General features: G+C 40.8%; 3 annotated features.

Moving 5' to 3' along the window:
* Nucleotides 5,587-6,415: an enhancer, noted in NCBI's record as "H3K27ac-H3K4me1 hESC enhancer chr9:114648577-114649405 (GRCh37/hg19 assembly coordinates)". NCBI's record gives its function as "activates a minimal SCP1, AML or CMV promoter by ChIP-STARR-seq in naive H9 embryonic stem cells {active_cell/tissue: H9 hESC(naive)}" and the evidence as "EXISTENCE:reporter gene assay evidence [ECO:0000049][PMID:30033119]".
* Nucleotides 17,047-17,897: an enhancer, noted in NCBI's record as "OCT4-NANOG-H3K27ac-H3K4me1 hESC enhancer chr9:114637095-114637945 (GRCh37/hg19 assembly coordinates)". NCBI's record gives its function as "activates a minimal SCP1, AML or CMV promoter by ChIP-STARR-seq in naive H9 embryonic stem cells {active_cell/tissue: H9 hESC(naive)}" and the evidence as "EXISTENCE:reporter gene assay evidence [ECO:0000049][PMID:30033119]".
* Nucleotides 23,881-24,400: an enhancer, noted in NCBI's record as "OCT4-NANOG hESC enhancer chr9:114630592-114631111 (GRCh37/hg19 assembly coordinates)". NCBI's record gives its function as "activates a minimal SCP1, AML or CMV promoter by ChIP-STARR-seq in primed H9 embryonic stem cells {active_cell/tissue: H9 hESC(primed)}" and the evidence as "EXISTENCE:reporter gene assay evidence [ECO:0000049][PMID:30033119]".

Genomic DNA, 26,900 nt, shown 5'->3' with positions numbered 1-26,900 from the left:
TTTAAAAGATAGGCATACTGTAAATTTTCAGCCCTATAAAAACTTAAAAAATAAGGTGAAAACAAGGTGATCCTCCAGAAATTGAGTAAATTTGAAGTTTCATAAACAAAGAATCAATTGACGTGAAATTTGTGGTGCTAATGCCAAGAAAAAAGTAATTCTTGTCTTTTTTCTAAACATGTTTAGAATTAAGTAGAAAAATACCTTAACTATCAGCTCAGGTGATTAACTTACATTGGTTTGTTATGCATGAAATGGTAACTTTGTAAAAGCCTTCAGATCCTAAGATACTGTGTTACTGTAAATTGCCTTTAAATGATACAAAGATTCCAGGCAAATTATCAGTTCAGGGCCTGATCTTGATAAACCACTGGTATCCTGTGTTTATATATGTGGGTGTGGTCCAGGGGAGTGACTAGAGTTTACTAGAGTTCATGTTCTTCTCAGCTGCTGTGTTCTTCTCAGCTGCTATGCTAACTCATATCCAAATGCCTAATTAAAAAATTTTTTTTTTTTTTGAGTTGGAGTTTCGCTCTTGTCGCCCAGGCTGGAGTGCAAGTGGTGCTATCTCAGTTCACTGCAAACCTCCACCTCCCGGATTTAAGCGATCACCTGCTTCCGCCTCCAGAGTAGCTGGGACTATAGACGCACGCCACCACGCCTGACTGGTTTTTGTATTGTTAGTAGAGACGGGGTTTCACCATGTTGGTCAAGATATTCTTGATCTTGTGACCTTGTGATCCGCCCGCCTCAGCCTCCCAGAGTGCTGGGATTACAGGTGTAAGCCACTGCACCAGGCCTAAAATCTTTTTTTTAAAATCACATACTCGGCCGGACACGACTGTAATCCTAGCACTTTGGGAGGTCAAGGTGGGCGGATCATGAGGTCAGAAGTTCGAGACCAGCCTGGCCAACACGGTGAGAGCCTGTCTCTACTAAAAATACAAAAATTAGCCAGGCATGGAGGTGCCAGGCTAATGTTTTTTGTTTTTTTTTTTTGGCAGAGTCTCGCTCTGTCACCCAGACTGGAGTGCAGTGGCATGATCTCGGCTCACTGCATACTTTTTAAATTATTTGTAGAGATGGGGTTTTGCCATGTTGCCCGGGCTGGTCTCAAACTCCTGGACCAGCTTGTAATCCTGAGTAGCTTGTAATCCCAGCTACTCAGAAGGCTGAGACAGGAAAATTGCTTGAACCTGGGAGGCAGAGGTTGCAGTGAGCTGAGATCACGTGCCACTGTACCCCAGCCTGGGAACAGAGTGAGACTTTCTCAAAAATAAATAAATAAATTAAATTAAATCACATATTCATTTTCTTTTAAAATTTCATGCTTAATCTTGTTTTAATCCATACTTTCCTAGCTCGAACCACTAATGTTTATTCTTAATGGAAGCTAAATTCAAAAGATGTTCAAATATGCCCCATGTAAATATCAACTGTTTTTGTTTTTTCGTTTTGTTTTTTTGAGACAGGTTGCAGTGAGATCACACCACTGCACTCCAGCTTGGGTGACAGAGCAAGACTCTGTCTTAAAAAGAATTACTAGTTTGCCATCAGATCCCAGGGTTTAGCACCTTGTGGGCACTTAAGCACCTTCTGTCACCCAGGCTGGAGCACAGTGGCATAATCACAGCTCACTGCAGCCTTGACCTCCCAGGCTCAGGTGATCCTCTCACCTCAGCCTCCCAAGTAGCTGGGACTTCAGCCACCTGCCACCACACCAGGCTAATGTTTTTTGGTTTTTTTTTTTTGGCAGAGTCTCGCTCTGTCACCCAGACTGGAGTGCAGTGGCATGATCTCGGCTCACTGCATACTTTTTAAATTATTTGTAGAGATGGGGTTTTGCCATGTTGCCCGGGCTGGTCTCAAACTCCTGGACTCAAGGGATTCACCCATCTTGGCCTCCCAAAGTGATGGGATTCTAAGCTTGAGCCACTGTACCTGGCCTTAACTATTATCTTTTTAAAAGTGTTTTTGGAAATTTCTTTATTTTTGGATAGATAGTTATGACTCATTCTAGTTTATTTAAGCTCATAATGCTAAAATCTTCACCTAGACTATGTATGCAGCTTGTGCGTGTGTGTAAACAAACTCAGTAAGTTTATTGTGGAGAGAGATTGACTAATATTTACTGAACAAGGGAACATAAATGACATGCTAGGGAAATTATTTAACTATTAACTTGATTTTCACAACAGTCATAAACTGTACAGTAAGACAAAAAGATTAAGTTAAATGCCCAGATGACATTCAATAAGTGACAGCAATGGAGTTTGGACCCGGCTTTGTCAGACTCCAAAGTCAATGCTATTTAAATAAGCAAGTACAGTATTGAGTTAATTTAAACAACATATAGTAGATGTTCAACTCTCAAAATTCAGTTTGCAAAGTAGATTTTGGTCTAGCATTATTTAGTTTAATAACAAATGTAATGTATACATCACCATCTGAGATTTAGGAAAGTCAATTTCACCATCTGAGACTTAGGAAGGTATATCATGTTTTTCTGCTAAGATGCTCTGGGAATTTAAACACCTTGCTCTTTCCTTCCACCATATCATTTGCTTCAGTTAAGAGGAATTTTATGAAACATAATGTCGTTGCAGAACAGTTCATTAAGAGCACAAACAACAAGTGGAAGAATTTAAGGCCAGGCGCGGTGGCCCATGCCTGTAATCCCAGCGCTTTGGGAGGCCAAGGCGGGCGGATCACGAGGTCAGGAGATCGAGACCATCCTGGCTAACACAGTGAAACACCGTCTCTACTAAAAATACAAAAAATTAGCCAGGCGCGGTGGCGGCCGCCTGTAGCCGCAGCTACTGGGGAGGCTGAGGCAGGAGAATGGTGTGAACCCGGGAGGCGGAGCTTGCAGTGAGCCGAGATCACACGACTGCACTCCAGCCTGGGCGACAGAGCGAGACACCGTCTCAAAAAAAAAGGAATTTAAAAGAACAATCTTTTTCAAGTGCTTTTTTTCTCACACAATAATTCAGGAAAATTCCAACAAAATCTGTTTCTTATTGTATCATTTTACAGAATTACCAACAATATAATTAAAACTTGACTTTAACATTTCCTTTTTTTTTTTTTTTTTTTTTTTTTAAGACGGAGTCTGGCTCTGTCGCCCAGGCTGGAGTGCAGTGGCGTAATCTCGGCTCACTGCAAGCTCCGCCTCCCGGGTTCACACCATTCTCCTGCCTCAGCCTCCTGAGTAGCTGGGACTACAGGCGCCCGCCACCACGCCCAGCTAATTTTTTGTATTTTTAGTAGAGACGGGGTTTCACCGTGGTCTCAATCTCCTGACCTCGTGATCCGCCCACCTCGGCCTCCCAAAGTGCTGGGATTACAGGCTTGAGCCACCACGCCCGGCGACTTTAACATTTACTAAGAAACAAAGGTTGTTAAGATAAACTAGACCTCCTGACTTTAGAATCTCTACAAAATACCTTCCCTATCTTAAGAATGCTTTCCTTTAGGTTACAGTATAAACTATTGGCTAAGCCTGAATACTGTGAAAGTCAGACAGGCTGAGTTTGAATTCTGGTCCACCATGTGACCTAAGCAAGTCACTTAACCTCTCTCGCCTCAGTTTTTTTATTTTTATTTTTATTTTGTAGAGAAAGGGTCTTGCTATGTTGCCCAGGCTCGTCTTGAACTCCTGACCTGAAGCAATCCTCCTGCCCTAGCTTCCCAAAGTGCTAGGATTACAAGTGTAAGCCACTGTGCCTAGCCACTTGCTTCAGTTTCTTTGTCTATAAATGGACTGTTGTGAGGACTAAACAAGTTAACATATGTAAAATATTTATAACAATTCCAGGGAGGGAAATGGATATAAAGTTTTATTATTATTCCTTAATTGAGAAAGTACATTCATTTTGTCTCATTTCATCTACATTACTAACTTTTGTTTTCTCTATTTCTCCATTTACTGTTTCAACCCATAAAAAATAAAATTACCTATTAGAAGGATTTATCTTTGGCAAATTATTCCTTGTGACAGAGCATGCAATACTTTACAATTCTTAATTATTACACAAACCAGAGTATATTGTAGATCTCATCTTCTTGCTAATATACCTGGTGTAGTCAATCAGAAACAAATGCAATTAGATGACAATTGTAGGAAATAGGAGACATATAATTGAATAGTAAGGAGCAAACAAAGATATTTTTATTCCATGGGAAAAATAAATCTCAGGCCTTGAAAGAAAATATTCGTTACATGCCAGCATAATATTAGAAAGGTACACAAACTGGCCTTGTGATGTTAAGAAACAGTGATATCAAATAGTCTTTAAACTATTTTTGGTAATTTTTGGTAATAAGTACCTCATAAAATATAATTAAATGCATCAGGATTAACACGAGAGAAAGTTTTCAGAGTCAAGTTTACGTAAATATATTATTTTTTGAAGCTCAGAATTGGCAAAAGGTGTTATAGCATTTACACAAATTGGTACCAAACTAACAACTAATTTGTGAAAAGGATGCATCCTCCCCTAGTCTAGTAATTTTATAGTTTGGAAATCATATCTGATTGTTTTTAGCCTTTTATATCATTGTAGGTATAAATTTGAAGTGTTGTCTAATACCTGAAAAAGCACGAAACAAAGCATTTTGCAATACAAGGAGATAGAAACAACTATTAGGGCCTTCCCTATCACATAAGCTCATGCCTAAATTCAGTTGCCAACCCACCTTAAATATTTTGGGATCCCTCATTAACAGTCATCAACAGTTAATGATGGGAGCCATCATTAACAGTCATTTCCTCTATAATAGAGAACACTGAGCAAAATTATTAAGACTGTTAAGATGATAAAGTAAACAAATTAATGGATTTTCCGTTTAGTTATTTATTTTCCTTTATTCCTCAACAAATATTAAAACATACAAGGTGGCCAGGCATGATGGCTCATGCCGGTAATTTTAGCACTTTGGGAGGCTGAGGTGGGAGGATCACTTGAACGCAGGAGTTTAAGACCATCCTGGGTAACATAGTGAGATCCTGTCTTTTTTTTTTTTTGTAGTAAAAAACAATATATATATGCACACACACACATATCTATACATACATGTATATGCATGCACACAAGGCATACACACATGCACACACATATACACATGTACACACATGCATGTACATGCACATACATGCACACATGCATGCACACGTGTGTACACAGGTGTGCATGCGTGTATGCATGCATATATGCACATGCACGTGTGCACGCACATATGCACATACGTATACATACATGTATGCACATACGTATACGTGCATGTGTGCACATACGTATGCGTGCATGTGTGCACATACGTGTGCGTGCATGTGTGCACATACGTGTGCGTGCATGTGTGCACACATGTATACATGAGGTTGGGCACGGTGGCTCATGCGTGTAATCCCAGCACTTTGGGAGGCTGAATCTGGCAGGTTGCATGGGCCCAGGAATTAGAGACCAGGGTGAGCAACATAGTGAAACTCCATCTCTACAAAATATGCAAAACAGCCTGCACCTGTAGTCCCAGATACTCGGGAGGCTGAGGCAGAGATTGCAGTAAGCCGAGATCACGCCACTGCACCCCAGCCTGGGCGACAGAGTGAGATTCTGTCTCAAAATAATAAAATAATAATACAATAAAATATGTGATGTTCCAGGTACACAGTGTTCTCATGCTTTGGATACAAAGTGAAAAATAACATAATCTTTTTTTCCCCCTGGAGAAGTTCAAGTTCAGCTGAGGAAGAGAAATGCAAAAATGTATCATTGTAATGCAATGAGTGTTGATATAGAGGTATGAGAAAAATTGGGAGTTGGGAGTGATTACTTTTATTCCAGAAAATCTAGAAAGACTTCATGGAGAAGGTCATCTGGGTCCTGAAGAAAGACTAAGACATTGCCAAGAGTGAGGAAAGTGCAGCTGGGCACCTATAACCCCAGCATTTTGGGAGGCCGAAGGGGGCAGGTCACTTGAGGCCAGGAGTTCAAGGCCGGGAGTTCAAGACCAGCCTGGCCAACAGGGCAAAAACCCGTCTCTACTAAAAATACAAAAATTAGCTGGGCATAATGGCAAGAGCCTGTAATCCCAGCTACTCGGGAGGCTGAGTCAGGAGAATCACTTGAGCCCAGGAGGCGGAGGTTGCAGTGAGCCGAGATCGCGCCATTGCACTCCAGCCTGGGTGACAGAGCTAGACTCCATCTCAAACAAACAAACAAACAAACAAAACTTGGATGGCCTTGAGAAACAGTTGACCTGGGTTAACTAATAAATTCATTGATCTGTAACTGAAAATCCAGTTATGGGGAGTATGACGTATGAATGACCATCTAAAGCAGGACTCGTTTGAGAAAGGAGACACTATTAACAATCAGGCTAGGAGAAACTGAGGCAGTCACAGAGTCACACCCTATATAAAGCAAACAAGAGTCAGGCACAGTTAAAAAATGGAGTTCTTGCTCCATTTTTCTGAGATAGTCTTGGCTCGCCCCTCCTCTATGTGTCAGTATTTTACTTTACTTTACTTTACTTTTACTTTATTTTATTTTATTTATTTTTGAGAGAGAGTGTCATTCTGTCTTCCAGCCTGGAGTGCAGTGGCAAGATCTTGGCTCACCGCAACCTCTGCCTCCTGGGTTCAGTGATTCTCGTGCTTCAAGCCCCTCGAGTAGCTGGGATTACAGGCGTGTGCCACCACACCCAGCTAATTTTTGTATTTTTAGTAGATACAGGGTTTCACCGTGTTCACCAGGGTGGTCTCAAACTCCTGACCTCAAGTGATCTACCTGCCTTGGCTTCCCAAAGTGCCAAACTTTGCTTCCCAAAGCAGTTTTGTCTTTAAGCTGACCTCGCTCATGGTTGTAAGACAGCTGCCAACAATTATCAGTACTTCACATCCAGGAAGAGAGAGCAAGTGTTAGTTGTGACCTAACAAAAATCTTAAGCCTTTTCATTTTTCTAATGGTTACCCTTGAATACCATTTGTTAGGCTATGGCAAGGCAGACTAGAATAGTCAAATTAGAATTTATTGAAGCTGGTAGTAAGGATAATCCCATCCAAACTGCAAGGTGACTATGTAATGAATGGGGGAGGAATAGAATTGGAAAGATAACCACGATAGCCACCACACTGAGTTTTTCCAAAATGGAAAATTTCTAGGAAGTCTTAAATATGAAAGATTCCCGGTTAGCTCTTCCAGCTTGTTCGTTTTCTAAATAATAGCTTTATTAAGATATAGTCACACACCGTAACATTCACTCCTTTAAAGCATACCACTCAGTGATTTTTAGTATCTTCACAGAGTTGTGCAACCATCACTGCCCAACTTTAGAACATTTTCTCACTGCAAAAAGAAACTCCATACCCATTAGCAGTCATTCCCCATTTCCCCTCCCCCCAGCTCCTGGTAACTACTAATTTAATTTTTTTCTATATAGATTTGCCTATCTTGACTATTTCATAAAAATAGAATTGATGGGCCAGGCACGGTGGCTCATGCCTGTAATCCCAGCACTTTGGGAGGCCGAGGCAGGCGAATCACCTGAGATTGGGAATTCGAGACCAGCCTGACCAACATGGAGAAACCCCATCTCTAGTAAAAATACAAAATTAGCCGGGCATGGTGGCACATGCCTGTAATCCCAGCTACTCGGGAGGCTGAGGCAGAAGAATTGATTGAACCCAGGAGGCGGAGGTTGCAGTGAGCCAAGATCACGCCATTGCACTCCAGCCTGCGCAACAAGAATGAAACTCTGTCTCAAAAAAAAAAAAAAAAAAAGAATTAACATATTATGCAGACTTTTATGACTACCTTCTTTCACAGCATGATATTTTCAAGGTTTATTCATGTCACAGTACATATCAGTACTTCATTTCTTTTTATAGCCAAATAATATTCCATTTTATGGATATTGTTTCTCCATTCATTAATCGAGTTGGATTTGGGTTGTTTCCATGTTTTGGCTATTATGAATAAAGCTGTTATGAATATTCATTTACAGGTTTTTGTATAGGCACATATTTTTTATTTCTCTTGGGTATATACCTAAGAGTGCTGAGTTGTATGGTAACTTTATGTTTAACTTTTGGAGTTACCGCCAGACTCTTCTAAAGTGACTGTACCATTTTACAATCCCACCAGCAATATATGCAAGTTCCCATTTCTCCACATCCTTACCAAAATTTGTCATAACTGTCTTAGTAAGTGTGAAGTGATTTCTCATTGTGGTATTGATTCGTATTTCCTTAATGGCTAATGATGTTGAGCATATTTTAATGTTCTTATTGACCATTTGTATATATTCTCTGAAGGAATATCTATTAAAATCCTTCTGATTTTTAAAATTGTGGTTTTATCTTTTTATTATTTAGTTGTAAGAGTACTTTATGGGCTGCTCATGGTGGCTCATGCCTGTAATCCCAGCACTTTGGGAAGCCGAGGCAGGTGGATCACTTTAGCCCAGGAGTTCGAGTCCAGCCTCCCACATGGTAAAACTCCATCTCTACAGAAAATACAAAAATTAGCTGGGTGAGATGGTGCACACCTGGAGTCCCAGGTACTCAGGAGGCTGAGGTGTGAGGATCACTTGAGCCTAGGAAGTCAAAGCTCAAGTGAGCCATGAGTGTGCTATTGCACTCCAGGCTGGATAACGGACAGCACAAGACTCTGTCTCAAACAAAAACAAAAACAAAAAACAAGCCAAGAGTGTTTTATGTATTCTAGGTACAAGTTGCTTATCAGGTATATGATTAGCAATTACTGCTCCTCATTCTGTGGATTTTCTTTTCCCTTCCTTGATGGTGTCATTTGAAGCACAATTTTTTTTTTTTTAGATGGAGTTTTGCTTTTGTTGCCCAGGCTGGAATGCAGTGGCGGGATCTTGGCTCACGGCAACTTGCACCTCCTGGGTTCAAGTGAGTCTCCTGCCTCAGCCTCCCAAGTAGCTGGGATTACAGGCATGCACCACCACGCCCAGCTAATTTTGTATCTTTAGTAGAGACAGGGTTCCTCCATGTTGGTCAGGCTGGTCTCGAACTCCCAACCTCAGGTGATCCGCCCACCTCGGCCTCCCAAAGTAAAGCATAAAATTTTGTATTTCGATGGTCCGATTTATCTATTTTTTGTTTTGTCACTTGTTTTTTGGAATCATGTCAAACATACCACTGGCTAACTCAGGTCACAAGGTTTATGCCCATGTTTTCTTCTAAGAATTGTACAGTTTTAGCTCCTGTATTTAAGTCGTTGATCCAGTTTGATTTAAGTTTTGTATATCATGTAAGATAGGCGTCTATCTTCATTCTTTTGCACGTGAATATCCTGTTGTCCTAGCACCACTTATTGAAAAGAGGATTCTTTTGACAATGGTGCTGAGAACATTGAATGATGTCAACATCATTGTCAAAAATTGACTACAGACGTATAGATTTATTTCTGGACTCTCATTCATTCATCTGCATGTCTATCCTTATGTCAGTACCACATGGTCTTGATTATTGTCAATTTGTAGTAACTTTGTAACTTTGAAACTGGGAAGCGTGAGAACTTTGTTCTTTTTCAAGATTGTTTTTGATTTTTCTGTGTCTTTTTTTTTTTTTTTCCTAAGGCAGAGTCTCGCTCTTACCCAGACTGGAGTGCAGTGGTGCAATCTCAGCTCACGCAACCTCTGCCTCCCAGGTTCAAGCGATTCTCCTGCCTCAGCCTCCTGAGTAGCTAGAATTACAGGCATGCGCCACCATGACCGGCTAATTTTTGTATTTTTAGTAGAGACAGGGTTGGTCAGTCTGGTCTTGAACCCCTGACCTCGTGATCAGTCTGCCTTGGGCTCTCAAAGTGCTGGGATTACAGGCGTGAGCCACCATGCCCAGCCCATCTGTGTCTCTTGAGTTTCAATGTGAATTTCATGGTCAGCTTGTTAATTTCTGAAAAAGAAAAGCTGAGATTTTGATAGAGGTTGCATTAAATCGGTAGATCAATTTGGATGCTATTGCCACCTTTTTTTTTTTTGAGACAGAGTCTCACTCTGTCGCCCAGGCTGGAGTGCAGTGGTGCGATCTCAGCTCACTGCAGCCTCTGCCTCCCAGGTTCAAGCAATTCCCCTGCCTCAGCATCCCAAGTAGCTGGGACTACAGGAACCCACCACCATGCCCAGCTAATTTTTGTATTTGTAGTAGAGACGGTGTTTCACAATGTCGGCCAGGCTAGTCTCAAACTCTTGACCTCAAATGATCTGCCCACCTTAGTCTCCCAATGTGCTGGGATTACAGGTGTGAGCCACCACACCCGGCAGGTATTACCATCTTAATAAGCCTTCTGACCCATGAACATGGGATGGCTTCCCATATATTTATGTCTTTAATTTCAGTTAGCAATGCTTTCTAGTTTTCAGTGTACGGGTCTTGAAGTTCTTTTCTTAAATTTATTTCCAGGTATTTTATTCTCTTTCATGCTGTTGCATGCTTTTGTTTGTTTTTGTTTTTGAGAGCAGAGTCTCATTCTGTCACCAAGGCTGGAGTGCAGTGGTGTGACCATGACTCACTGCAGCCTCAATTTCCCTGGCTCAAGTGATTCTCCTGCCTTAGCCTGCCAAGTAGCAGGCACTACAGGTGTGCACCACTGTGTTTGGCTAATTTTTTTTAATTTTTTTTAGGGATGGGTCTTGCTGTGTTGCCTAGGCTGGTCTTGAACTCCTGGACTCAAGCAATCTCCTCACCTTGGCTTCCCAAAGTAATGGGATTACATGCATGAGCCACTGCACCTGGCCTCTTTGATGTTATTGTAAATTAAATTATCTTCTTAATTTTACCTTTGGATTGTTCATTGCAAATGTATAGAAATACAATTGAATTTTGTATATTGATCTTGTATCTTACAGCCTTGCTGACTTGCTTATTCCAATAGCTTGTGTGTGTGTGTGTGTGTGTGTGTGTGTGTGTGTGTGTGTATTCATTAAGATTTTCTGTGTATAAGATCATGTTATCTTTAAATATAAGTATTTTTACTTCTCTCCTTCCAATCTGGGTGTTTTTATTTATTTTCCTTACCCAATTGCCCCCAGCTAGAACTTCCAGTATAATGTAAATAGAAGTGGTAAGAGCAGACATCATTGACCTGTTCCCACTTATAAGGGGGAAAGCTTTCAATCTTTCACCATTAATTATGTTGTTGGCTATGCGTTTTTCATAGATGCCCCTTATCAGGTTGAGGAAGTTCCCTTATATTCCTCAATTGTTGAGTGTTTTTATCATAAAAGGGTGTTGAATTTTGTCACAAGATTTTTCTGTGTCTATTGAGATGATCATACAGTTTCTTATTCTACTAATACAGTGTATTATATTGCTTGATTTTCAGAAGCTAAACCAACCTTGCATTCCTGGAACAAATCCCACCTGGTCATATTGTATAATTCTTTTTATATGTTGCTGGATTCAGTTTGCTAATATTCATTGAAGATTTTTGCGCCTATATTTATAAGAGATGTTGGTCTATAATTTTATTTTCTTGCAATGTCTTCAGTTTTGGTATCAGGGTAATACTAGCTTTATAGAATAGTTGAGAAATGTTCCCTTTTCTTCTATTTTTTAGAAAGTTTTTGAAGAATTTGTATTAATTCTTCTATTTTTAAATGCTTGGTAGAATTCAATATGGAAGGCATCTGGGCTTGGGCTTTTCTTTTGGGTAAATTTCTTTTTTAATACTATTTCAATGTCTTGACTTATTATAGGTCTATTCAGATATTCTCTTTCTTCTTGAACCAGTTTCAGTAGTTTGTGTCTTTCTAGGAAGCGATCCATTTCACGGAAGTTATCTAATTTGTGGACAAACAGTTGTCGTAGTATCCCATTGTAATTCCTTTTATTTCCATTTGGTCATAAAGTTTCCTCTTTCATTGCTGATTTTAGTAATTTTATTCTTCTCTTTTTTTCTTTTGGTCAGTCTAACTAAATATTTATCTTGTTGATATTTTCAAAGAACAAACTTTTGGTTACATTGATTTTCTGTATTGTTTTTCTCTTTTCTATTTCATTTATTTCTACTTTAATTTTTATTATTTTCCTACTGCTGCTTATGCTGAGCTTAGCTTGCTCTTTTGCTCCAGTTTTTTAAGGTGGAAGTTTAATTTATTCATTTGATATTTTTTCTTCTTTAAAATATAGGCGTTTATAGCTATAAACTTCTTTCTGCACTGATTTAACTATATACCATGAATTTTGGTAAACTGTAGTTTTGTTTCCATCTACTTCAAAGTATGGAAATAGGGCACATGGAAATTCCACAAAGCTCACTGTTTTTACCTAGATGCAACCATTTTTCTTTTTCTTTTTCTTTTCTTTTCTTTTTTTTTTTTGAGATGGAGTCTCACTCTGTCACCCAAGCTGGAGTGCAATGGCATGACCTTGGCTCACTGCAACCTCTGCCTCCCGGGTTCAATCGATTCTCCTGCCTCACCCTCCCAAGTAGCTGGGGTTACAGGTGCCCGCCATCATGCCCAGCTAATTTTTGTATTTTTAGTAGAGATGGGGTTTCACCATATTGGTCAGGCTGGTCTCAAACTCCTGACCTCAGGTGATCCACCCTCCTTGGCCTCCCAAAGTACTGGGACTATAGGTGTGAGCCACTGTGCCCAGCCTCAACCATTTTTCTTGAATAAAAGCTTCTCAGATAGTTGTAGATCTTTTGTTAATTTCCAGAGTTCTGAGAAAAGTTAATTTTGACAATTTTTGCAAAGTGTTCACATTGCTTATATGGAGGAGAGGATTTTCAGAATTTCTTCATCTGCCATTCATTCTCAAGTGCTGCCTTCCAGCTTTTGCTTGCCATAAAGTGTTTTTATCCTCCCTAGAATTCACTGGCAGTTGTGTTAAACTAGGCATAAGGTGGGGACAAATTGTAGATAAAGAGAGTTGAAAATGGTTAAAATAAAAATGGTTCAAAATGATTAGTCATCCATTGATAAGAAATGAGGACAAGCTTTTTCCTTGAGACACCTGAGTTTTTTAAAGTCCTTGGAAGCCATCATCAATTAAGTTTAAAATCTGCTCTGTTTATTTTTAGTTTTGTCAGCCCTTTAGTCTCACCATTTCCACACTGAGGATGAATGGGCCTTTGGAAAGTTATCCTAAGGGTTAAAAATAATGGCGATGATGATTTTCTACTTGTTCGAAGCCACTATGCTAAGGGAAGAGGAACTAGTTCTTATATGACCTAGGATGCTACTCCTTTGGTACATTAGTGATTTCCACCAAATTTATTCTATATGCAAGCATTAAGCATAATTAATACATTTGTTGAGCAATTTTCCAGTTAGATTACCTATTTATAGAGCTTTGTTCCAAGGGAGGCAAACGTCTCATTCCTCACAGCTAGAAGCGGGGCCCTGTTGGAACCATCATTAGTCTTAGTATTTACTCCCCAGTAATTTGTTAACTTTACAATAGGGTAGATCAAATACATAAAAATTCAAATGAACTGTATGACCACTTGACCGGGCAGTGCAAGAGGAGGAGGATTACAAATAATTCATAGAGTCAGCAGTTAGAGTTTTTTGGATACCTTAGTGACAACAGAGCCATATTAATGAAGCATAGGGGAGTTAATAATTTATCCAAGGTCAAATGGCTAGTAAGTGGACCTAAACCCTTCCTTTTTGGAACCTGGAAAGTGAGAGTAGAAAGGAAAGTCTTATCTCAATAATTTGCCGTAGTACTGAGACTGAGACAACTTTAGAATTCACTTTGGCTCCTCAATCCTCATTACCACTGCTCTAGGCCAGAGACTCTCAAACTTTATTGTGTATGTGAATCAGTTGGGAATCTTGTCAAAATGTAGATTCTAATTCAGTGGGTCTGGGGTGGAGCCTGATATTCCACATTTTTAATAAGCACCCAGGCAATGCCCATGCTGGTGTACAGATCTCACTTTGAGTGCCAAGGCTCTGGCCATCACAGCATCCATATCTGGATTAGCAGCAATATCTTTCCTTTTTTTTTTTTTTTTTTTTTTTGAGATGGAGTCTTGCTCTGTCACCAGGCTGGAGTGCAGTGGTGTGATCTCGGCTCACTGCAACCTCCACCTCCCGGGTTCAAGCGATTCCCCTGCCTCAGCCTCCCGAGTAGCTGGGACTACAGGCGCACACCACCATGCCTGGCTAATTTTTTGTGTTTTAGTAGAGACGGGGTTTCATCATGTTGGCCATAATGGTCTCAATCTCCTGACCTCATGATCCACCCACCTCAGCCTCCCAAAGTGCTGGGATTACAGGCGTGAGCCACTGCTCCCGGCCAGCAGCAATATCTTTCTAAATGTTCTTACTGCCCTCCAGGCAGGTAGCAGAATTTTGCAAGAACTTTTTCTGTTTGTTTTTTTACTTTCTCAGAGTTGTCACCAGTGCTCCACTTATTCCTACACTAGTACATATTCTTTATCCCTCCATCCTTCATCCCTCCTGTAGCTATGGCACCTTAGCATTCCAAAAAGGCAGAATTTAGGCTGGGCATGGTGGCTCATGCCTATAATCCCAGCACTTTGGGAGGCTGAGGTGGGTGGATCAGTTCAGGTCAGGAGCTCAAGACCAGCCTGGCCAACATGGTGAAATCCTGTCTCTACCAAAAATATAAACGTTAGCCAGGCATGATGGCACGTGCCTGTAATCTCAGCTACTTGGGAAGCTGAGGCAGGAGAATCACTTGAAACTGGGAGGCTGAGGCAGGTGAATCACTTGAAACCAGGAGGCAGCAGTTGCAGTGAGCCTAGATCGTGCCACTGCACTCCAGCCTGGGTGACAAAATGAGACTCTGTCTCAAAAAAAAAAAAAAAGAAAGATAGAACTTTATATTTTTATGTTAACTCGAGATATTTTATTGACCACTTAGCCTATGTGGTGCAATTGGAAGCAGGCTACGTCCTAACTTAAGACCAACTAAAAAAGGTAAACATTCACTAGCATTTATAAGCTCCTATCTTACAGTGCCTTTCCTAATCTCTTCTCACTTTTATGCCCTTCCATCACCTTGGCCAATTTATCTGGTACATGGGTCTTGATTTACTCTATGATTTATATCATTAACTAGCCTTTGCTAGGTACACACATTTATCAGTAGAACTGATTCCTGTCAGAAGGCTATAAAATGTGCATGCAAGAAAGAGGTAGGAAATAACCTAATATTCTAAAGAAGGAATAAAAATAAAGTACTTGCATTGTTCAGCAATTCACAGCTATTCCAAGAGGGACTATTATTAGATCCCGCAGAGAGAATGAATGAGAGGCAGATTCAAAAACTGTATGCATTCCTTTGATTTGCAATTGAACCACATCATGATTAATATTGGTGAAGGTGCTATTCCACAGTGAACCAAATTACCCCCAAGGTTTTAGTAAACATTCTCTTTTGGCTCCTAGTGTTGAAGCACCCAATAGGTAGACTAAACACATTTATTCATTTATTCAACAAACATTTATTGAACACCTATTATGTGATAGGCACTGTTTTGAGGGATGGGGAAATAGTAGCAAATAAGACTAAGTTTCTGCTTTCATGGAACTTATATTCTAATGCAGCAGGCAGGTATTAAAAAAATAAATGCATAGGATAGTGTGATAGAGGGGATACAGAGTAAATGTGGCCCAGATGTGGTGGCTCACACCTGTAATCCTAGCCCCTTTGGAGGCCAAGGTGGGAGGATCACTTGAGCTCAGGATTTCAAGACCAGCCTGGGCAACATGGTGAGACTCTGTCTGTATAAACATTTTAAAAATTAGCTGGACGTGGTGGCGTGTGCCTGTTGTCCTGGCTACTTGGAAAGCTGCGGTGGGAGGCTTGCTTAAGCCCAGCAGGTCGAGGCTACAGTGAGCCATAATCATGCCACTGCACTCCAGCCTGGGAGACAGAGGGAGACCTTGTCTCAAAAAAAAAAAAAAAAAAAAAAAGAGTAAATATGGGTGCTGCAGTGATAAACAGGGCTTCTCTAAATAAATGACATTTGAACAAAGACCTCAATAAAATAGGGGATTAAGCCACACAAATATGTAAGGAAGGGGCATTCCGTGTAGTGAGAAGTGCCAAGTGCAACGGCCTTGTGGAAGAGCACATTTGGCTTCTTTGAGGAAGAACAGATAAGCCAGTGGGGCTGGACTGGAGTGAATGAAGGGAAGAAAGGTAGGAAATAAGGTCAGAATAGTGGCCAGGATTTAGATATTATTAAGTTATGAAAGTCCTCGTAAGAATTTTGGATTCTACTTTGAGATATGAAGCCACTGGAACATTATAAGCACATTGATGACATGATTTGACTTACATTTAAAAGGATCTCTTGGAAGACGAAGGCGAGTGACTCACTTGAGCCCAGGAATTTGAGACCAGCCTGGGCAATGGATGACAGGGCAGCTTGTAAATGTACCTAAAACTCTTGCATTTTTGGAATTTGGAAAGTGAGAGTGGAAAGTGAAGGGGTAGCCTGCCCCTCCACACCTGTGGGTGTTTCTCGTCAGGTGGAACGAGAGACTTGAGAAACAAAAGAGACACAGAGACAAAGTATAGAGAAAGGAAAGTGGGCCCAGGGGATGGGCACTCAGCATACGGAGGACCTGCGCCAGCACCAGTCTCTGAGTTACCTCACTATTTATTGATCATTATCTCTACCATCTTGGAGAGAGGGATGTGGCAGGACAATAGGGTAATAGTGGGGAGAAGGTCAGCAGGAAAACATGTGAACAAATGTCTCTGCATCATAAACAAGGCAAAGAAAAAAGTGCTGTGCTTTTGATGTGCATATACATAAACATCTCAATGCCTTAAAGAGCAGTATTGCCACCAGCATGTCTCACCTGCAGCCCTAAGGCGGTTTCCTCCTATCTCAGTAGATGGAATATACAATCGGGTTTTACACCAAGACATTCCATTGCCCAGGGATGAGCAGGAGACAGATGCCTTCCTCTTACCTCAACTGCAAAGAGGCCTTCCTCTTTTACTAATCCTTCCTAGCACAGACCCTTTATGGGTGTCAGGCTAGGGGACGGTCAGGTCTTTCCCTTCCCACGAGGCCATATTTCAGACTATCACATGGGGAGAAACCTTGGAAAATACCTGGCTTTCCTAGGCAGAGGTCCCTGTGGCCTTCCACAGTGTTTTGTGTCCCTGGGTACTTGAGAGTAGGGAGTGGTGATGACTTTTAACAAGCATGCTGCCTTCAAGCATTTGTTTAACAAAGCACATTCTGCATAGCCCTAAATCCATTAAACCTTGAGTTGACACAGCACATGTCTCTGCAAGCACAGGGTTGGGGGTAGGGTTACAGATTAACAGCATCTCAAGGCAAAAGAATTTTTCTTAGTACAGAACAAAATGGAGTCTCTTATGTCTACTTCTTTCTACATAGACACAGTAACAGTCTGATCTCTCTTTTCCCCACAGAAAAGAGGGTCTTATTTAAATAATTTGCCCTATCACTGGGATAGCTTTGGAATTCACTTTGGCTCTTCAATCCTCATTACCACTGCTCTAGGCCAGAGACCTACAAACCCTGTCTCTACAAAAAATACAAAAATAAGCTGGGTTTGGTGGCACGTGTCTGTAGTCCCAGCTACTCAGGAGGCTGATGTGGGAGGATTGCCTGAGCCTGGGGAGATTGAGGCTGCAGTGAGCTGTGATCACACCACTGTACTCCAGCCTGGGCAACAAAGCAAGACCCTGTCTCAAAAATAAATAAATAAATGGATCTCTGAGGCTGTTGTGTGGAGGAGTCATGAGGTCAAGAGTGGTAGCTGATAATCCGGTTGGGAAACTATGAAAGTAGTCCAGGAAAAAAACGATAGTGGGTCATACTAGAGTGATAGCAATAGAGGTAGAGAGAGTGAGCAGTCAGACTGAGGATGTATTTTCAAGGTGGTGCCAACAGGATTTGCTAATGAATAGAATGTAGAGTATGGAACTAAGAGGACAGTCATGGATGACTCCAAGAATTGGGGCCTGAGCAATCGGTCCAATTTACTGGGAGGGTGATCACCAGAAAGGAGCAGGTATAGAGAGGAAATTGAGAGTTTTGTTTGGACATGTTACAAATGAGACACCTATTAGGCATCTGTGGTAGATTAAAGATGGCCATAGAGCTTTGTTTCCCTTCCCTTTGAGAGGTGGTGTCTAATTTCCCTCCTCTTGAATCTGGGTTGATTTAATGACTTGCTTGACCTACAAACGGGTAAAAATGACAATCTGGGACACCTAGGGTTAGGCCATGAGAAGCCTTGCTGTTTCTACCCAGGCCTCTTGGAACACTCTGGGTGCCCTGAGCTCCCACATAAGAAATCTTACCTCTCAGCTGGGCGTGGTGGCTCACATCTATAATCCTAGCACTTTGGGAGGCCAAGGCGGGCAGATCACGAGGTCAGGAGTTCGAGATCAACCTGGCCAACATAGTGAAACCCTGTCTCTAGTAAAAATACAAAAAATTAGCCGGGCATGGTGGCAGGCACCTGTAATCCCAGCTATTCAGGAGGTTGCAGTGAGCCGAGATTGCATCATTACTCTCAAGCCCGAGTGACAGTGCGAGACTCCGTCTCAGAAAAAAAAAAAAGAAATCTTACCTCTCTGAGATCACCAGGCTGGAGAGGATCCATAGGTATTTCAGTCAATTGTCCCAGATAAACCCAGCTTTCCAGCCATCACTGCCAGGGTGCCAGATGTGGGAGGGAAGCTGTCCAAGCCTCCCCAGTCATGCTTCCTGTATAGCCTGCAGAACCATGAGCCAATTAAACCTCTTTTTTTTTTTTTATAAATTACCCAGATTAGGTATTTCTTTATAGCAGTGCAAGAACGGACTGGTACAAAAAGGAAGTCAATTATATTGAAATACCATTCTATCCATAGACCCAAAAGATTAAAAAGCCATCCCACCAATAAAGTGTGGATAAAAAACAGATTGTTAATGCCATCAGTGTTGATAAAGAAGAGGTCTCAGACTGAACGCTAAGGCACTTAAACACAGCTGTTTAGAAACTAACAAAATGGATTAACATAGGAAACTGAGATGGAATAACCAGTGCCATGGGAGGAAAACCAGAAGACTTCAGAGTCATGGAAGCCAAGTGAAAAAAGGAGTAAAAGGGAAGGACATGACTAATTATATCGAATTTTGGTGAGAGGTGCAATAAAATAAGTCCTGAGAATTGACCCTTAGATTCGGCAACAAGGAGGCCATTAGCAACCTTGAACAAGTGGTTTCACCTTTTGTGGAGTGGATATAGATAACATTTTTGAGTGCTCTGATGGGGAACAGATAAACAAGGAGCTATATAAAAAGGGAATAGAGTCCAGGAAGATTTTTGTTTTCTTTTAAGAAATGAGATACTATATTAGTCTGTTTTCACACTGTTACAAAGATACTACCGAGGCTGGGTAATTTATAAACAAAGGAGGTTTATTTGACACATAGATCTGCAAGGCTGCGGAGGTCTCAGGAAACTTACAATCATGGTGGAAGGGGAAGCAGTCACCTTCTTCACAAGGTGGCAGAAGAGAGAGTGCAAAGGGAGAAGAGCCCTTTATAAAACCATCATATCTTGTGAGAACTCACTCACTATCCCCGGAACAGCATGGGGGAACCTCCCACGTGATCTAATCACCTTTCTCCCTTGACACATGGGGATTACAGGTTGAGATAAGATTTGAGTTGGGACACAGAGCCAAACCATATCAAATACTAAGCAAGTTTTCTGACTAATGTAAATGATTCAGTAGAGAGGAGTGCAGGTGATTATGGAAGGAAAGTACTAAAGTAGAAGTGAATGAATGAGATCCAGTTGACAAATGGCAGAATTGACCTTAATCAATGTTGAGAACTCAAGCAAAATGGGATCACCCAAAACAAGAAAATTTAAACTATTTTATTTTTAATGTTTCTTTAAAATCTCAATATAGTCATCGGGGGGAACATCTAAAATTTACTATACTTCTTTAGATATAATTCATGGCTTGGAATTTTTTTCTTATTTTGAATTGCATTTGGTAAGGACAGAGGAAACTTGCTTCTAATGTTTACGGCTTCCAAATATCTTAATTAAACCCTGGGTGCTCCCCAAATCTGGGACTAAGGAGTAATACAGGTAATTCAGTATTTATTTCTAGGATATCACTCATTGCCTGAACTTTGCTTTCAGCGTTTCCAGCAACCTTTTGTTTCATTATGATATTGTGTAAGTAGCAAAGGTAGCTGTTCCAAACTGTAAGTGATTATTTAAAATTAAGTTAATTCTCACTAGAGCAAGTCTATCTAGTATATTTGTAGTGACAGGGTATGTTCTGCATAGGGAAAATAGAAGAGAAGTCTCCTAAAAGTAAGAGGAGTCACTGTGTCACTCTAAGAGCAGAACAGAATGACACAGTGATCCTCCAGGTCACACATGGAAAACTCTGGTGATGCAGACACTTTGTCTCCATAGATTTTTTACTTATGTCACTTGATTTTCAGTAAAATTGTACAAGAAAGAAATATAGGGTGTATTGTTTGCTAGACACTGACTAGGTTAATGAACAACAGAATTTATACTCCCATCCAAAGAGAGACTATTTGTGTGTGTAGAAGGGTGTTACTTTCCATGTAAGAAAATAATTTCATTGTGTGCTCATACACAGAATACATGATCTTTAATTCAGTGAAATTATTTTTCTGATTATAGCAGTGGTACAACATATAAAGTTTGCATGGCACTTGAAGTAGGAGTTTTTTACCTCCTTTTTTATTGTTTGAATCTCAGCCTAAATACCACCTCCTCAGACCATCAGTTATCACTGTTTTCATTTTCTGGCAAGTATTTATTATGCCTGATTTTTAAAAACATATTAATTTATCTCCTTATTTACTGACTCTCTCAATTCAGAATTGTTGCAGATAGTGCTATCTGGGGCTGGTGGCACAGGCAGTAAAAAGAATTTACCAAGACAGTTGTAGGTAAAGAAAGACAGATCTGTTAGAGAAAATACATCGCAAGAGAGCAATGCGCAAGTCAGCAAGAGAGGAGCTGACTGCAAGAAGGCAAAGGCTTGCTGGGGATTTCATACGATGGTGCTTGTGCTGGAGACGGCTCCGTGCAGTTCTGATAGCGCCAGTATTGCAGGAGCTAACTTGCATTTTCCTATCAGCCAGGGGTCTGCTGATAGCTGGCACAGAAAGACTGTGAGTTATTTGTGCAGGGAGGGCTGTGTGTCCTAGACCATGAACAAAGGTAGACTTACAGCTTATCTGATTTTTCTTTTTGCTTTCCCCTGGTCCTAGCAGCCTGACTCCTTCTCCCTAGTTAGGACTCCACAAGAATGAAAGCTCTACTCCATGGATGTAGGCACCTCGTCTTTCTTATTTACTGCTGTAGCCTGTCTCAGTCCACCCAGGCTGCTGTAACAAAATATCATGGACTGGGTGGCTTATAAACAACAGAAATTTATCTCTCACAGTTCTAGAGGCTGAGAAGTCTAAAGTCAAACAACTGTAGATTTGATGGCTGGTGAGACCCCATTCCCTGCTTCATAGAGGGCATTTTGCTGTGTCCTCACATAGTGGAAGGAGCGAATAAGCTCCCTTGAGCCTGTTTTATAAGGGCACTGTGAGGGGCGGGGGGAAAGAGTTCTATCCTCTCACTCTACAACAATCAACACAGACTTCTGTGACCAAATGTGTGGGGGTTCCCCCACCCCAACAGCACACAAGCAATCAATTCTGCAGCAAACATCAGCTGGGTGTCTTCCAAGTCAATTCAGTTCTGACCTTATCTAGATGAAGAGAGCCTCAGAAACCACAGGTTCAGGGCTCAGTCCCACAAGACCACCCCCTCCTTCCCACCAGTCCCAAGTCTAGGCCTCCAGAACATCTGACCAACTGGTTTCAATCTGAGGTTTCCACAACCTCATCTTTGAGTTGATTAAGGGTTCAGAGAAACACTTATGTTTACTGGTTTATTACAAAGGATATATTAAAGGATACAAACAGCCAGAAGAAGAGATACATAGAAGGTCTGGAAGGATCCTGAGCCCAGGAGCTTCTGTCCTTGCGGAGTTGAGGTGCACCACCCTCCTGGCATGTGGATGAGTTCTTGTTCACTTTTCTGTAAGCCTCTATGTGTTCAGCTATTGGGAAGCTCTCCAAACCCTATCCTTTTGGGGTTTTATGGAGGCTTCATTATGTAGGCAAGGTTGATTAAATCACTGGACCTTGGTGATCAACTTAACCTTCAGCCCCTCCTTAGAAATGGAGGGATGGGGTGAAAGTCCCAAACCTCTAACCTTGCCTTGGTCTTTCTGGTGACCAGCCTCCATCCTGAGACTGCCTGGGGGCTGCCAGCCATCAGTCAATCATTAGCATATGAAAAGACATCACTTTGGAGATTTGAAGGATTTTAGGAGTTGTATGGCAGAAAATGGGTTGAAGACCAAATAGATACTTCACACTATCACAGGCACGAATCCAGTTCATGACGGCTCCACCCTCATAACCTCATCACCTCCCAAAAGCCCCACCTCAAAAAACCTCACATTGGGGATTAGGTTTGAGCTTATACATTTTGGAGAAACACAAACACTCAGATCATAGCGGCCCCCAAACCTAAAATTATGCCTAACATGACATAAAGATTTATTGACTAAGTAAATAAATGAATTAATGAATGAGTATTGAAAAAAATTGGTAAACTTCCCATTTTGTTAAATAAGCCTAACATAATCCTCAGACCCAAACTAGAGTTAGCACGTACAAAAAGAATACTAGCCAAACCAAACTTATTGATGAAAATAGATATGAAAATTCTAGGTGGGGCATGGTGGCTCATGTCTGTAATCCCAGAACTTTGGGACACTGAGGCAGATGGATCACTTGAAGTCAGGAGTTCAAGACCAGCCTGGCCAACATGGTGAAATCCTATCTCTACTAAGAATACAAAAATTAGGCCGGGCGCGGTGGCTCACGCCTGTAATCCCAGCACTTTGGGAGGCCGAGGCGGGTGGATCATGAGGTCAGGAGATCGAGACCATCCTGGCTAACAAGGTGAAACCCCGTCTCTACTAAAAATACAAAAAATTAGCCGGGCGCGGTGGCGGACGCCTGTAGTCCCAGCTACTCGGGAGGCTGAGGCAGAAGAATGGCGTGAACCCGGGAAGCGGAGCTTGCAGTGAGCCGAGATTGCGCCACTGCAGTCCGCAGTCCGGCCTGGGCGACAGAGCGAGACTCCGTCTCAAAAAAAAAAAAAAAAAGAATACAAAAATTAGCCGGGGGTAGTGGTACGAGCCTGTAATGTCAGCTACTTAGGAGGCTGAGGCACGAGAATTGCTTGAACCCAGGAGAGGGAGGTTGCAGTGAGCCGAGATGGCACCACTGCACTCCAGCCTGGGCAACAGAGTGAGGCTGTCTCGAAAGAAAAAAAAGAAAAGAAAGAAAAAGAAAAAGAAAGATGTGAAAATTCTAAATAAAATGCTAGAATAACAAATACACCCACAAATTAATAGAATTACTCACTATGACAAAGTAGGGTTTCTTTCAGGGTTTCAATATTTTCCTTTACTTTTATTTCTTTAAAAATTATCACAGTAACACAGGAATATGATTTACAAATTTTTTAAAATGCGACAGAGCACAGAAAATTAAAAGTGTATGTCTTGAGCCCCCTCCCTACCCCCGCTGTTCCTTCTTTTAAAAAAAAACTTTTATAGATTCTTACTTCTAACCCTAGTTTTACTTTCTATATTTCCTCCATTTTCTCTTCCCCTCCACATCCCAACTTTGGCCAGCTACATTGATACTGAAGTGGTATCCTTGTCTGGGATAAATACCCGCGATTCATTGTCTCACAGCTATAGAAAACTAGGATGCAGACACACCAGAGTAAGGTTAAGAGTGGAAGTTTAATAGGCAAAAGAAAGAGAAAAGCTCTCTCCTGCAGAGATGGGGGGGTCCCAAGCAGGTCTTCTGGTCTGCGGTGAAGGGCAGGAGGTTTTATAGATGAGCTTAAGGAGGCGGTGTCTGATTTACATAGGGCACGAAAGATTGGTCAGACCAGGTGTGTCATTTGCATAGTGCGTGAAGAACTGGTCAGGGCTAGGTGTGCCGTTTGCATAGCGCTTGAAGAAGCTGGCCTCCCCACACTAGTCTTTTATTATGCAGAGGGGTTATCTACCTGGCTGGCACCATGTTGCCTGCTTTTTTACTGTACATGTGGTGACAAAGAAAAGGGAAGATAGAGCCTCCAAGTTGAACATGCCTGGCCCTCAGGTAGCCAGCATTCACCTGTGCAGGTTTCCAGCTTGCTTATCTATGTCTGCAGCTCAATTTTTCAGGCTGCTCTTTATTAGAAAAGAAATGATTTGGGGGCTGCTTTTCGTTAAAAGGGAAATTCTGCTGAGGATTCTGTTGCCCTTACAATCTGCCTACATAATTTCTATCATCTGTATCAATATTACCAAGGTTAATATCATTTCATCCCCTTAATTTGTCATAAATAATACTGCTGTGATCTGTGGCAGAAGGGAATATTAGTACAATATGAAATAGAGTGATAGACAGTGGTCAAATAATTTAGGGCTTAAATAACTTTTAGTCTACATTTTAATATAGATCTGAAAGTTCTAGTCAATATTGCAAGATGCAAAATAGAAATAAGAAGTGTAACTCTAAAAAGAGATCAGAGAAATGTATAATTATTTGTAAATAAATTTATTATTAATAAAAATTATAAAATACATATTAGGGTACAAATTATATTCTCATTAGTTTACTTATATTTATTTTATCCAAATTCTCAAACCCAATTTATTTTTATCTTGTATAGACTGAATGTTAATGTCTCCACAAAATTCATATGTTGAAATCGTCACCCCCAGTGTGATGTTATTAGGAGGTAAGGCCTTTGGTAGGTGATTAAGTCTGAGTGCAGAGCCCTCATAAATGAGATTAGTGTCCATATAAAGAGACTCCTGAGGTCACCCTCATGTCTGCTGTCAGGTGAGGACACAGTGAAAAGACAGCCATTTATGAACCAAGAATTGTCCTTCTCAAGACACCAGATCTGCCAGTGCTTTGATTTTGGACTTCCCATCCTCCAGAACTACAAGAAATAAATTTCTGTTATTTATAAGCCATCCAGTCTAAGATATTCTACTATAGCAGCACAAATGTACTAGAACACTGTCTGCTTAATGTTACTAACTGATGGTGTTGAATTGCAATTTCTATTACACCGTTTGTTTCTTGACATTTTGTTTTGTATTCCTAATAGTTTTTATTTATATATTTTGTACAGTTATATAGGACATGAAGTTCTAAAGTCCAAGTTCAATACAAACATAACATATGCCTTGATTTTATTATACTGTATAGCATAATACAGTGTAATGTATCTTGGAGAAACTTTCACATCATCTAATTCAATTTTTAATCAGTCAGTTACATAGTTTTCTAGTTGCCCACCATCACGTGTATATATCAGATGTTTGCACTCCTTCTCTTTGCCCGGAATGCTCTTCTCTCAGATATTTGCATGGATGACTCACTTCCTTCAGGTTTCTCATCAGATATCATTTCATTAGAGACATATTTCCTGACTGCTGAGCACTAACATTAGCGAGCATGCATGCGCATGTGTGGACACACATACACTCTCACACACTAGTACTCTTCATTTCCTTTTTCATACGTACAAACATACATACACACAGAGTAGACATCCTTTTATCTAATGAAGTAAAGACAATCAGTTGGTTGGTTAATCAAAAAGTTAGTAAAAGCAACCCCAGGAAATCCTTTAAAATGATACATTTTTGAATGTAACAATTTAATTTTAATTTAAAACCTTTTCTTCGGGTATGAATTTATTGATTAGTTTCATATTCTCTTTCTTACATAAACAACACATAAAATGCATTTTTATGCTTTTTTTTTTTTTGAGATAGAGTCTCACTCTGTCGTCCAGGGTGGAGTGCAGTGGCATAATCTAGGCTCACTGCAGCCTCCACCTCCCAGGTTCAAGTGATTCTCCTGTCTCAGCCTCCCAAGTAGCTGGGATTACAGGCACCCACCACAATGCCTGACTAATGGTTGTATTTTTAGTAGTGACGGGATTTCGCCATGTTGACCAGACTGGTCTCGAACTCCTGACCTCAGGTGATCCGCCCATCTCAGCCTCCCAAAGTGTTGGGATTACAGGCATGAGCCACTGTGGCTGGCCCTAAGCTTTCCATTTAAAGTAACACTCTAATTTTAATAATATTATTTGTGATTTTCCAAGTAGAATGGAGACTTAAACACCCTTAAAGTAATATCAACATAAACTTCTTGATTTTTCAGTTTTTCCCCAAATAATTTGTAGTTGTTTCTTCCACAGCTAATTTCATACACTTTTTGAAAGAACTCACCTTTAGCAAGTCTTTCCAAAACATTTCGTACAAACAATGGTTTCTTTTGCACTCATTTTCATCAGTTTGTGTTACATTTCATTGAATTACTTAAATATCATAATAAACACAGTTGGCATAATGGGCTTAGAATAAACACACTGACTTTTTTTTTTTTTTTTTTTTGAGACAGGGTCTCACTCTGTCACTCAGGCTGGAGTGCGGTGGCAAGATCACAGCGCACTGCAACGTCGACCTCCCAGACTCAGATGATCCTCCCACCTCAGTCTCCTGAGTAGCTGAGACTATAGGCATGTGTCACCATGCCTGGCTAATTTTTGTATTTTTTGTACAGACAGGGTTTCATCATGTTGCCCTGGCTGGTCTTGAACTCCTGAGCTCAAGCAATTACCCATCTTGGCCTCCCAAAGTGGTTGGAATACAGGTGTGAGCCACCACACCTAGCCAACATACTCACCTGGTAGAAAGATGTATGGATACCATAGTTATTCATTGTGTGTTTTACAGAGAAAGTGAA

Source organism: Homo sapiens, chromosome 9, assembly GCF_000001405.40.
Source record: "Homo sapiens chromosome 9, GRCh38.p14 Primary Assembly".
Taxonomy (NCBI): Eukaryota; Metazoa; Chordata; class Mammalia; order Primates; family Hominidae; genus Homo; species Homo sapiens.
This window is presented reverse-complemented; position numbering and strand designations above follow the sequence as displayed.